The following is a 13,760-nucleotide window of genomic DNA, read 5'->3' as shown; positions in this document are numbered from 1 at the left end:
TTTCTGAACTTGAAGACAAGTCTTTTGAAATAACAGGCAGGCAAAAAAGGATAAAAAAGAATGAAAAAAGCCTACAGGATTTATGGGACACCATTAATTTGATCAAATATTCATATTATGGGCATTCCAGAAGGAAAAGTGTAGAGAAAATATGAGGAAAACATATTTAATAAAATAGCATGAAACTTCCTAACTCTTGAGAGAAAGCTAGACATCTAGTTCCAGGAAGATCAAAGAACCCCAGATACATTCAACCCAGACATTATAGTCAAATTGTGAAAAATCAAAGACAAAGATATTTTAAAATAGCAAGAGAAAAGTAACACACTTATAATGGAATCCCCATTAGACTAACAGCTGATTTCCCAGCAGAAACCTTAGGCTAGAAGAGAATGGGATGATATATTCGAAGTTCTGAAAGAAAAAAAATCTTTCGGCCAAGAATATTATACCCAGCACAGCTATCCGTTACAAATGAAGACATAAAATCTGTCACAGATAAACAAAAACCAAGATAATTCATCACCACTAGACCAGCGTTACAAGAAATGCCCAAGGGAGTTTTACATCTGGAAGTAAAAAGATGATAACCACCATCATGAAAACATGCAAAACTTTAAAAGTCACTGTTAGAGTCAATACATAAAGGAGAAAGAGAAAGGAATGAAACCTTATCACTACAGAAAACTACCCAACTTCAAAAGTAAACAGGAAGAAAGGAATAAAACATATACAAAACAACCAGAAAACAATAAAACGTTGGAAGTAACTCCTCACCTACCAATAATAACTTTGAATGTTAATAGATTAAATACCCCATGAAGGATATAGACTTACTGAGTGGATTAAAAAATAAGATCCAACTATATTTTATCTAAAAGAAACTCACTTTACTGGTAAAGAAACACATAGACTGATAATGAAGGGATGGAAAAAGATATTCTGTGCAAATGGAAGCCAAAAGTGAGCAGGAATAGCTATACTTGTATCAGACAAAACAGAGTTCAAGTTAAAAACCATAAAAATTGACAAACAAGATTATTATGTAATAATAAAGGATTCAGTTCAGCAAGAAATATAATTGTAATATGTGTATAATTGTAAATATGTATGCACTCAAACACCAGATCACCTAGATATATAAAGCGAATATTACTGGATCTAAAGAGGGAGATAGACCCCATTACAATAAGAGTTGGGCACTTCGTATCCCACTCTCAGCATTGGACAAATCATCTAGACAGAAAATCAACAAAGAAACATCAGACTTAAACTCCACCATAGACCAAATGGACATAAATAACAAACATATACAGAACATCTCACCTAACAGCTGCAGAATACACATTCTTTTCTTCAGCACATGAAACATTATCCAAGATAGACCGTATGTTAGGCTACAAAACAAGTCTCAACAAATTCTATCAGGTATCTCATCTTACCACGATGAAATAAAACTAGACATTCATAACAAGAGGAACATTCAAAACTATACAGACATATGGAAATTAAACAACATGCCCTTGAGTTACAATGAGTGAAGAAAGAAATTAAGAATGAAATTTAAGAATTCCTTGAAACAAATGTAACTAGAAACACAATATACCAAAACGGGACAGAGCAGAAGCAGTTATTAAGAAGTATGTTTTTAGCTTCAACCATGTCCCTACAAAGGACATGAACTCATCATTTTTTCAGCAAACTATCGCAAGGACAAAACACCAAACATCACATGTTCTCACTCATAGGTGGGAATTGAACAATGAGAACACTTGGACACAGGAAGGGGGACATCACACACTGGGGCCTGTTGTTGAGTAGGGGGAGGGGGGAGGGATAGCATTAGGAGATAAAACTAATGTAAATGACGAGTTAATGGGCGCAGCACACCAACATGGCACATGTATACATATGTAACAAACCTGCACATTGTGCACATGTACCCTAGAACTTAAAGTATAAAAAAAAAAAGAAGTATGTTTTTAGCAATAAATGCCTGGATCAAAAAAACTAGAAAACTTTCAAATAAACCACTGAACAATTCTACCTCAAGAAACTAGAATATTAAGAACCAACCAACCCCCAAATTATTAAAAGGAAATAAATAATGAAGACCAAACAGAAATAAACAAATTTGAGGCAAAAATTACAAAAGGTTAACAACAAAAAGCAGGTTTAAAAAATATCAACAAACCATTAGCTAGACTAATTAAGAAAAAGGGAAGACCCAAATAAGTAAAATCAGAAACAAGGAAAAGAGACCTCATAACAGATATGACAGAAATAAAAATAATTATTAGAGACTATTATGAGCAACTCTACAATAAATTTGAAAACCTGGAGGAGGTGGACAAAATCCTTGACCCATACGACCTACCAAGACTAAACCAAGAAGAAATAGAAAAAAACCTGAACAGACCAAAAACAAGTAACGAGATTGAATCAGTAATAAAAAGGCTTTCAACAAAGTCCAGGACCTGATGGCTTCACCACTTAATCCTCACTTGTGAAAGGAAGAGTCATTTGCCACAGCAAACTTCATTGTTGTCCTATCTTAAGAAATTGCCTCAGCCACTCCGACCATTGGCAACCACCACTCTGATCAGTCAGCAGCCATGAACATGGAGGCAACGCCCTCCACCAGCAAAAAGACTATGACTTGCTAAAGGCTCAGGTGATCATTAGCATTTTTTAACCAATAAAGTAGTTTTTAATTAAGGTATGTACATAAGTTTTTTGAACATAATGCCATTGCAAACTTAACAGGCTACAGTGTAGGGTAAACGTAACTTTTATATGCACAGCAACCCAAAACATTAGTGTGAGTTGCTTAATGCAGTTTTTGCTTTATTGCAGTGGTCTGGAATGAAACCCACAATGTCTTTGAGATATGTCTATACACATTATTTATATATTATATATCTGTATACATATTCTTTTATATATCTTTATATACATATATATAGAAAGAGACAGAGAAAAGAAGATAAAAATATGCAAAATTCAGTGTTGGGAGTATCCATGAGGAAAGAGTTGCTGGTTAATGATTGTAATTTTCTTTCTTAAATATTAGGTCTTCCAGTGAGCTAAGTCATGTTTACTATATCCTTTAGATTCATGGGATTCTTGTTATTCAAATATATTTTTCATCACTATTTTGTGTAGCAAATATCTAAGGATACATTTTTGCATTTTTTTTTTTTGGTGGCTAAAGAATGTTAGAACGACTTTCCAAGTTTGAAGTTGGAGATGCTGAAAATGTTGCTTCATATGAGTAAGTCAGTTTGAAGTTTGAAAGGAGGGAGCTATTGATGGATCTCTTATCTTTAAACAGGGCTTCCGCTGAGGCAAGAAGGAAAAAGGGAAACTATGGAAAGATATCAAAATGTATGGGTGGGAGGGTACACCGTATTTACTCCAGTTGAATTCTTAGACAAGTATTATTTTGAAAAAAAATTCCATCCATTCAGAAATAAATGTTCTTCTAGCTTGAAAATGTAAAAAGTATTCTTAGAGGAAATTAATTCCATTAAAAGTTTTTTTAAAAAAAACAGGAATGCAGAATGCTACTTAACTCATCAATAGTGAACGTTTCTCATTTTTACTGGATATGGTGTGATTCCCAATTTTGTAGATTTTGCCTATGAGCAAATAGTATTGATAGCAAAAGCAAACATATTTTGCTGACTAAAGACCTCTTTATGCTCATTGGGATTTTATTCTTATTTGTTTCTAATCTCACTAGAGTACTTCCTGTTGCACTGACCTGAAGGCATTTTATCATGTACTTACTGTAATGAAACAATACATTCTTAAACTGGCTTGTGTCTGAACTGCAGACATATTCAGGAGATTTTTCTTCTGCTTCTTTCTTGCCCAGTTGTATAACCATTCACCAGCTTGTGTCAATGCTGGAGAGGAAGTACGGCCATAGAGGAAGTTAACTCACCATGGTTGTAAGCTGTTGGTGTCTAAACAAAGATTGGAAACAAAGAGGGCAAATACAAGTAGTTCTTCAAATTACCCTGAATTTGCCACTGAATTAAACTGTGTGTCTGCAGATTAGCTATACGTTTTCTGTAATGGAGCTGCCCAGGGCTGAAACAAAATTAGATTAAGCAAGGCAAGCATTTCCTTCTTTCCTGACTCCAAACAAAATAAAGCAGGTTTTCATTTTATTTTATTTTTAAATTACAAAGTCTCATTACGTAGATATAGGAGGAATTTGCAATAGTCCCTGTGAGAAATGCTGGTGTTTCATACCAGGGGGATGATACTGGATTTATAGTAAAAGCTGGAATCAGTGCTTGGCTTTGGCATATCATATATTCATTCACCTGATACTCAGCAAGTCACTAACCCTCTTTAACTTTCAGATTATTCAAATGTAAACTGGCTATAATGCAATCTATGTACTGGATATTGTATTGTAAAAAATTAGTAATAAAACGAAAATAACATGCAAAAATACTTCGAAAACTCTGTAGATCTGTAAATAGGTTTTATTCTAAAAACTGAAAATAACGTAAGAGGTCATTAAAGGAAAATCAGAAAATACAATCAACAAATCTACCCACATATAGTCATTCTTAAGCTTTGATGCATGCACTTCTAAGTTCTTCAAGCATATACTTTTTTTGTTTACAGATATGAGACCATACTTATTCTTTTGTAAATAACCTTATTAATGACATCATTTTTTTTGTTAATATATATTCATGTGCACTTACAACATTATTTGTAACAGTTGTGTGATATTTCATGGTGTAGATGTGCTATATATAATTTATTTAATAGTCAGATATTGCTGAACAATTAAGTTTTTTACAAGTTTTTAACTGTTACAAAAATGAATATATTTGAGGCTAAATCTCTGTATATTGTTGGTTATTTGCTTGTTATAAATTCTCAGAAGTGGAAATTCTGTGTCAAAGGGAATGATTGTGACGCTATTGATACTGATATGTGCTTTAACATCAAGATGCAAAGTGTACATTTCTCCCCTCCCACACTTAACACTAGCCATCATTGATTTCTCTGATATTAGTAAATATATTTGTTCTAATGCACGTTCTTTGACACACCTTCATTTATCCTTTTCTGTCTTTGGACTGAAAAGTTAAATCTATTGATCCTTTTTCTATTTTATGTAATATAAGCAATTTCTCCCAGGTTGTCTTGCTTTTCACTATATAAAAGCATTTCATCCTCATGTAATCAAATGTATCTGTACTTTTCTTTGTGATTTTGCCTTTAATGTTATTCTCAGAAAGTCCTTCTTACCCCAAGATTTTAAACATATTCACCAAAATTTCTGTTTTGAATTTATTTTCTTCATTTAAATAAAATATCTGCCCTGAATTTACTTTGTCTTAAGGTATAAAGTGTAGAAATTTACTTTTCTCCTAAGTGACTCATAGTTTTTTCAGCATGAACATGTCATCCCCCTGTATTGTCCTTACCCTGTTTTAGTGATCTAGAGGGAGCAGGAAGACCAGAGTCACTACAGTGTTTTTCGTGCTTTTCATCATGGCCACCTCCCTACCCCCAGAGTCTGCACAAGAGAAAAATGTGTCCAGTGGGAGAGATAGCACCTGCCTTCAATACAAATCCCATTTCATTAAACATGGTCTTGTTAGTGTCATGTAGCTTCCACCTTCTATTGATAAAAAATGAGTCATGTTCATAGTTAATATTTTTGCTTTTAATTCAACTTTGATATTAATATTGGAACTTTTAAGTGTTTTAAGGTTTAGTATCTCATATCTTTTTTTCTCTCTCTTTTTTTTTTTTTGAGCCGGAGTCTCGCTCTGTCACCAGGCTGGAGTGCAGTGGCGCCACTCAGCTCACTGCAACCTCCGCTTCCCAGGTTCAAGTGATTCTCCTGCCTCAGCCTCGTGAGTAGCTGGGACTACAGGCACGCACCACCACGCCCAGCTAATTTTTTGTATTTTTAGTAGAGATGGAGTTTCACCATGTTGGCCAGGATAGTCTCGATCTCTTGACCTCATGATCCACCCACCTTGGCCACCCAAAGTGCTGGGATTACAGGCGTGAGCCACCGTGCCTGGCCTCTATCTCTTTATTTTTGAATTGTCATTTAAATTTAGTTTTTGTCTCTCGTGTATAGCATGTAATGCCTTTAATTTCAAAGTTATCTGAGAGTATTTCTCAATATGCAGTATGAGAGTAATATGTTTGTATTTATGATTTCTGGTACGTTTGGTTTTATTTATCATCTTTTTCTTTATTAAAAATACTTTGATATTTTCTTTGTAAATTTGTCTATATTTTGCAATTAATTGATTTGTTTTTATCCCTTGCATTTTTTGTTGATATGCAAGTCAGAAGCCCATTTCTAGTCTATCAATGTTTATATTTAAATGTTTAGAAAACATAATTATACCATTTTATCCATCAATATCGAGAATAAAACTGGACTTGTACCTGTGAAAGATAAGAAATGCAACCTGCCTTTACTTCTATCTTCTTCCACACCTTGAATCCTAGTGTAAGAATGCCTAAAAATTCAAATCAATACTATTATTCATGATTTTATATTATCTTTACTTTCAGAATCATTTATTTACATTTTCACCTGCTACTTTTCTTTTATTATTATACTGTAAGTTCTAGGGTACATGTGCACAATGTGCAGGTTTGTTACATATTCGTGCATGTGCCATGTTGGTGTGCTGTACCCATTAATTCGTCATTTACATTAGGCGTATCTCCTAATGCTATCCCTCCCCCATCCCCCCACCCCATGACAGGCCCTGGTGTGTGATGTTCCCCTTCCTGTGTCCAAGGGTTCTCATTGTTCAATTCCCACCTGTGAGTGAGAACATGCAGTGTTTGGTTTTCTGACCTTGCGATAGTTTGCTGAGAATGATGGTTTCCAGCTTCATCCATATCCCTACAAAGGACATGAACTCATCCTTTTTTATGGCTGCTTATTATTCCATGGTGTATATGTGCCACATTTTCTTAATCCAATCTATCATTGTTGGACATTTGGGTTGGTTCCAAGTCTTTGCTATTGTGAATAGTGCTGCAATAAACATACGTGTGCATGTGTCTTTATAGCAGCATGATTTATAATCCTTTGAGTATATACCCAGTAATGGGATGGCTGGGTCAAATGGTATTTCTAGTTTTAGATCCTTGAGGAATCGCCACACTGTCTTCCACAATGGTTGAAGTAGTTTACAGTCCCACCAACAGTGTAAAAGTGTTCAGTTTCTCCACATCCTCTCCAGCACCTGTTGTTTCTTGACTTTTTAATGATCACCATTCTAACTGTCGTGAGATGGTATGTCATGGTGGTTTTGATTTGCATTCCTCTGATGGCCAGTGATGATGAGCATTTTTTCATGTGTCTGTGGGCTGCATAAATGTCTTCTTTTGAGAAGTGTCTGTTCATATCCTTTGCCCACCTTTTTATGGGGTTGTTTGTTTTTTTCTTGTAAATTTGTTTGAGATCTTTGTAGATTCTGGATATTAGCCCTTTGTCAGATGAGTAGATTGCAAAAATTTTCTCCCATTCTGTAGTTTGCCTGTTCACTCTGATGGTAGTTTCTTTTGCTGTGCAGAAGCTCTTTAGTTTAATTAGATCCCATTTGTCAATTCTGGCTTTTGTTGCCATTGCTTTTGTTCACCTGCTACATTTTTATGCTACATTAACAATTATTATTTAGACTTACCTAATTTTGAGTTTATATTATTTATCATCTTTTCTCTGTAAGTCATCTTCCTTATTTCTGTGTTCTTCATTTTGATTCATTGCTCAGCTGACTCAAGCACTTTGAGTAATTGTTTTTAGGAAAGGTACATGGAGGCTATGCTTCGTGTTGCTTCATGTTGGAGTATCTGTCTGTTGTTCCCGAGTGTGAACCGTACTTTTCCTGGGTATGGATTTACTGAGTCATAGTTATTTCCCTGCAAACTCTGCACATAACTGCTTGAAGCTGCATTTACATAGTATACCTTTTTAACCAAAAAAGTCTCAATTGTGTATTTACTTGGTATAGTTTCAGGGGACACTCAAACAGATTAAGGGGCTAAAGCCACCCAAGCCACTTCTTCATGCCTTCGTAATCTGTCAGACTTGGTTCTGTATGGTGACATTGTCAAGTGAGTTCAGATTTATGACATTTCCTTGATACCCAGAGATCTAGTAGACTGTGTGGGATCAGAGGTTCTTGTAGTAAGGGAATGGCAACTTGAGGAGAGAATTCACCTCTTTTGGCCAATTGATCCTCCATCTATATCAGCCTTAACTCTCCAAGCCTGGGTGGAGGTGGTGGGTCCAGGTGGAGAGGGGAAGATTAGAAGGATTGGGGATTTCCTTTATCTCAGGTTAACCTAACATCATTCATCAAAGGCCAATTTTGTTTTTTTTAACTTTTATTTTAGGTTTGGAGGTACACGTGAGGTTTGTTACATAGGTAAACTTGTGTCAGGGAGGTGTTTTTTTTTTTTTTTTACATATTATTTCATCATCCAGGTATTAAGCTCAGTACCCAAATAGTTATCTTTTCTGCTCCTCTCTCTCCTCCTGCCCTCCCCACTCAAGTAGACCCCAGTGTCTATTTCCTTCTTTGTGTTCATCAGTCCTTATGATTTAGCTACCACTGATAGGTGAGAACATTCAGTATTTGGTTTTCTCTTTCTGCACTAGTTTGCTAAGGATAAGAGCCTCCAGCTCCATCGATGTTCCCACAAAATACATGATCTCATTCTTTTTTTATGGCTGCATAGTATTCCATGGTATATATGTACCACATTTTCTTTATCCAATCTGTCATTGATGGGTACCTAGGTTGATTCCATGTCTTTGCTATTGTAAATAGTGCTGCAGTGAACATTCATATGCATGTATCTTTATAGTAGAATGATTTGTATTCCTCTGGGTATCTACTCAGTAATGGGATTGCTCAGTCAAATAGTTCTGCTTTTAGCTCTTCAAGGTATTGCCATAGTGCTTTTTACAGTGGTTGAACTAATTTACACTCCCACCAACAATGTGTAAGTGTTCCCTTTTCTCTGCAACCTTGCCCGCATCTGTTATTTTTTGACTTTTTAGTAATAGCCATTCTGACTGGTGTGAAATGGTATCTCATTGTGGTTTTGATTTGCATTTCTCTAATCTGTGATATTGAGCTTTTCTTCATATGCTTGTTGGCCACATGCATGTCTTCTTTTGAGAAATGTCTGTTCATGTCAAAGGCCAATTGTCAGTGCCCCAGTTCTGCTCAGTATCTGCCCTCTTTGTTCTCCAGTCTTAGGCACAGGCTGTGAGCATTGTCTTAGGATTCATGGCTCTTGGGGTGGAATTTGAGTCCTGTGTTGGAGGCTTCAGTATGACAGAAACTTCCTGAAGACTTCTCCTACTGAAGCCTCCTGTGTTGGAGGCTTCTCCTCCTGAAGAGCTTCCAACACAGGAGGCTTCAGTAGGACAAAAAAAATTGTTCCTCATGAGCTACCTTGTCTCCAGCCATAAGGTAAAATGAGGCATTATTGGAGGCTCCATCAAACAGGTTCTCCTTCCTTTGATTAATGGAAGGAGCCCAGTCTTTCGGGTGTTTCTCCTTTGAAGTATATCTTACTAAAATGTCTTACCTCTGAAGTTCATTTGCAACCTCATATGCGACTCTTGCTAATGTATATCTGCTCACTAGGTGTCTAGTTTGAGGGGATGACAAGAGCATCATTTACTCCCTATGCTCATTCCTGAAACCTTATTTTATTGCAGTGGAAACTGAGATCTGGCCAAAGTTTGATGATTTGCCCAGGCTGGCATTAAAATACAGTTCTCTTCTACCACCCTTTTCTGTCTTCATGCTATACTCCTTGAGATGATGACCACAAGTTTAAGTTTAGTATTGCCATAAAGTTGGGGTTGGGGCTTTGCATGCAATGGAAATGTTACTAAACATCCAAAGTTTACTGTCTTCTGGATAGCATAGTAAACAAGTAAAATACTCATGGAGCAGGAAGAATAACATTTTAGCTATTAGTAAAAAGCATTTTGTTATACAACTTCTGAATAATTTTCTTTTAAAATTATATTTATAAGGGCCTTTGTTTTTTGGTTAAATTTACAATATATGTTAGAAGAAATCTGATTAATTTTATTTTTACTTCTTTTTGCAGCAGTAAGATTAAGAAAATTGTGCATTCAATTGTATCATCCTTTGCATTTGGGTATGTGAGACACAGAAAACACCATGTATTAAATATATCTGAGACTTGGCTGGGTGTGGTGGCTCACGCCTGTAATCCCAGCACTCTGGGAGGCCGAGGCGGGCGGATCACATGAAGTCAGGAGTTCAAGACCAGCCTGGCTAACATGGTGAAACCCCATCTCTACTAAAAATACAAAAATTAGCCAAGCATAATGGTGGGTGCCTGTAATCCCAGCTACTCAGGAGGCTGAGGCAGAAGAATCGCTTGAACCGAGGAGGCATAGGTTGCAGTGAGCTGAAATTGCACCATTGCACCTCAGCCTTGGTGACACAGCAAGACTCCATGTAAAAAAAAAAAAAAAATGAGTCTCATATATATCTATACATACATATATATATATATGAGACTTAATACTTCAATGAGAAACACTGAAATAAAATAACAAAAAAGCATTTCCACTGTCCATCAGTTGCTAAGTAGCCATGTGCCCCATCTAATGTAATCTAATTTATCATGGAATTTTGGTTTAAGCTGGACATTAAGAATTGCAAATAAATGGCTTTTGCCTAAGATTAATAGTAACATATTGTTTTTCTTCCATCTGCAAAAGTAACATTAATGAAAATCAAATGTTAAAATTCTGTAATTATTAGTAAAGTGTTTTATTAGTACCTTATACATCTGGAATTACTCTTTAATTCTGGAAACTATTTATTTAGACTACATAAGAGTAAGATTTCATACTATATGATATAGATTTATGCAATATAATTGTTTCCTTTTGAATTAATAATATTTGAATTTGAGCTGCAAGTTTTTAAAAAAGTACTTCAAAGACTAATTCACCTTCATAGATTAGGCAAATAGTCGAATCAATTTATGGAGAATGTATTTGGAATATGTAACAGCAAGTGGCAGGAGGTACTTTAGAGTTCAAGACTCATGTGCCCATCACTCTGCTCGAAGCACCCATAAAGATGAAATCATGGACTTGTTGAAAATGTCACTGATGAAAAATCTTGGTCTTTTAAGAGCTTATGTTACTCATGCTTTCATTTGGTTTTTATTAATAAATTCTTTAGAATTATCCAGATTAATGAGGGTTTATTTTTTATGAGAAGTTGGTATAAACTTCTTATGAAATTCTCACATTTTAAGAAGAGTTTGTAAACAGACACAGGTGATTTTAATTCAGTTTTACTTTTTCTCTCTTGAGGTGTTGGTCTGATGTGTCTACTATAAAAGGCCATGATAATATCTTCTGAAGTGGTTTGGTGAGAATTTTGTTTATTAAGAACTGCTTCTATTGGGTGAAAACAGTGATTTTTCTGAGATTCTAAGGCATTACAGTTTTTCCTGCCACTGGGCAGCTTAATACTAAATAATAACATTTTGGTACCTGATCAGTGGCTTAAATATAGTATAGCTATAGGGACAAATGCCCCTTTATCTTTGCATTTATTTATTTATTTATTTATTTATTTATTTATTTATTTATTTATTTATTTTAGACTATTTGGAGTTTTCCTCGTCTTACTGGATGTCACTCTCGTCCTTGCCGACCTAATTTTCACTGACAGCAAACTTTATATTCCTTTGGAGTATCGTTCTATTTCTCTAGCTATTGCCTTATTTTTTCTCATGGATGTTCTTCTTCGAGTATTTGTAGAAGGGTAAGTTTGATTATTTTTATAATAAGAACCACTTTGGGAGGCTGAGGTGGGAGGATCCCAAGGTCAGGAGTTCGAGACAATCCTGGCCAACATGGTGAAACCCCGTCTCTACTAAAAATACAAAAATTAGCTGGGTGTGGTGGTGGTTGCCTGTAATCCCAGCTGCTTGGGAGGCTGAGGCAGGAGAATCATTTGAACCTGGGAGGCAGAAGTTGCATTGAGCCGAGATCATGCCATTGCACTCTAGCCTGGGTGACAGGGTGAGACTCCGTCTCAAAAGAAAAAAAAAAAAAAGCATTTAAAAATAATTAACAGGAGCATTCACTGCAAACTGACTTAAGAGCCTTTGGGCCTTATGAGAACATTGGTGGTAGTCTGGCAGTACCTCCCCATGGCCTGTGTTTGAGGTGGCCCTGGATTGATGCTCCTCTGTCTTTGGACAGGGGTGGAAATAGTGGGAGGGACTGCATCTTGTGGTTTGAGTGACAGCTCAGCCATAGCACAATAAAACACTACGTAGACTTTTACAGTTTTTGATCTAGGCCCTGATTCCCAGACAGCACCTTTGGATCCACCTGGAGGCTAGGAGAACTTGCCATCCTGAAGGGAAGGACACAGGCCTGGCTGTTTTTACCATGTGATGACTGTAGAGCCCCAGGGCCTTCAGCAAACTCATGCAATAGCTAAGGAGTGGTTACAGCAGGTCTTGGGCAAGACCCCGTGCTGTGCTGGCCTCAGGTCTGACCCAATGCAGTCACAGTAGTGGTGGCCACAGAGGTGCTTATGTCACTCAACCCCAAGCTTTAGGTGCCTCAGAACAGAGAGAGAGACTCTGTTTGTTTGGGAGAAAGTAAGGGAAGAAAACAAGAGTCTCTTTTTGGTAATGCAGAGAATTATCCTGGATCTTGTCCAAGACCATTAAGGCAGTACCGCTATGAGTCTGCAAGAACCAGAGTTTAGGAGGCTTGGGGTGCCCCCTAAAGCAGATAGAGATTAGATCACAGTATCCAAGTTCTTTCAAGTATCTGGAAAGCCTTCCCAAGAAAGATGGGTACAAACAAGCCCTGACAGTGAAAACTACAATAAATACAGTGAAAACTACAATCAATACCTAACTCTTCAATGCCCAGACACCAAAGAACATCTGCTAGCATCAACACTATCCAGGAAAACATGACCTCACCAAATGAACTAAATAAGACACCAGGGGCCAATCCTGTAGAAACAGAGATATGTGACCTTTCAGACAAAGAAATCAAAATAGCTGTGTTGAGGAAACTCAAAGAAATTCAAGATAACACAGGGAAGGAATTCATAATTCTATTAGATAAGTTTAACAAAGAGATGGAAATAATTTAAAAGAATCAAGCAGAAATTCTGGAGCCAAAAAATGTAATTGGCATGCCAAAGAATGCATTAGAGTCTTTTAATAGCAGAATTGATAAACCAGAAGAAAGAATTAATGAGCTTGAAGACAGGCTATTTCAAAATACATAGAGGAGACAAAGGAAAGAATAAAAAACAATGACGCATGCCTACAGGATCTAGAAAATAGCCTCAAAAGGACAAATCTAAGTGGTATTGGCCTTAAAGAGGAGGTGGGGAGTGTAGAAAGTGTATTCAAAGGGATAGTAACGGAACGTCCCAAACCTACAGAAAGATATCAATATCCAAGTACAAGAAAGTTATAAAACACCGAGCAGATGTAACTCAAAGAAGACTACCTCAAGGGATTTAATAATCACAGTCCCAAAGATCAAGGATAAAGAAAGGATCTTAAAAGCAGCAAGAGAAAAGAAACCAATAATATACAATGGAGCTACAATATATCTGGCAGCAGACTCTTTAGTAGAAACGTTTCAGGCCAGGAGAGAGTGGCATGACATATTGAAAGTGCTG

General features: G+C 36.3%; 1 protein-coding gene and 1 pseudogene across 2 annotated transcripts in view; both read left to right on the top strand.

Annotated features, from left to right (window-relative positions):
- TPTEP2-CSNK1E (TPTEP2-CSNK1E readthrough) overlaps positions 1 to 13,760 on the top strand; it is a 108,225-nt gene that overhangs the window by 25,656 nt on the left and 68,809 nt on the right. The window contains exon 4 of the mRNA NM_001289912.2: positions 11,700 to 11,861. The gene's annotated coding sequence lies outside the window, so the exon portion shown is untranslated. The remainder of the gene's footprint in view (positions 1 to 11,699; positions 11,862 to 13,760) is intronic.
- The window catches only part of TPTEP2 (TPTE pseudogene 2), a 54,262-nt pseudogene that overhangs the window by 25,667 nt on the left and 14,835 nt on the right, over positions 1 to 13,760 (top strand). The window contains exon 4 of the transcript NR_002821.2: positions 11,700 to 11,861. The product of NR_002821.2 is annotated as a TPTE pseudogene 2 (transcript). The remainder of the gene's footprint in view (positions 1 to 11,699; positions 11,862 to 13,760) is intronic.

Source organism: Homo sapiens, chromosome 22, assembly GCF_000001405.40.
Source record: "Homo sapiens chromosome 22, GRCh38.p14 Primary Assembly".
NCBI classification, from domain to species: domain Eukaryota; kingdom Metazoa; phylum Chordata; class Mammalia; order Primates; family Hominidae; genus Homo; species Homo sapiens.
The sequence above is the reverse complement of the archived record's forward strand: the minus strand, read 5'-3'. Positions and strand labels throughout refer to the sequence as shown.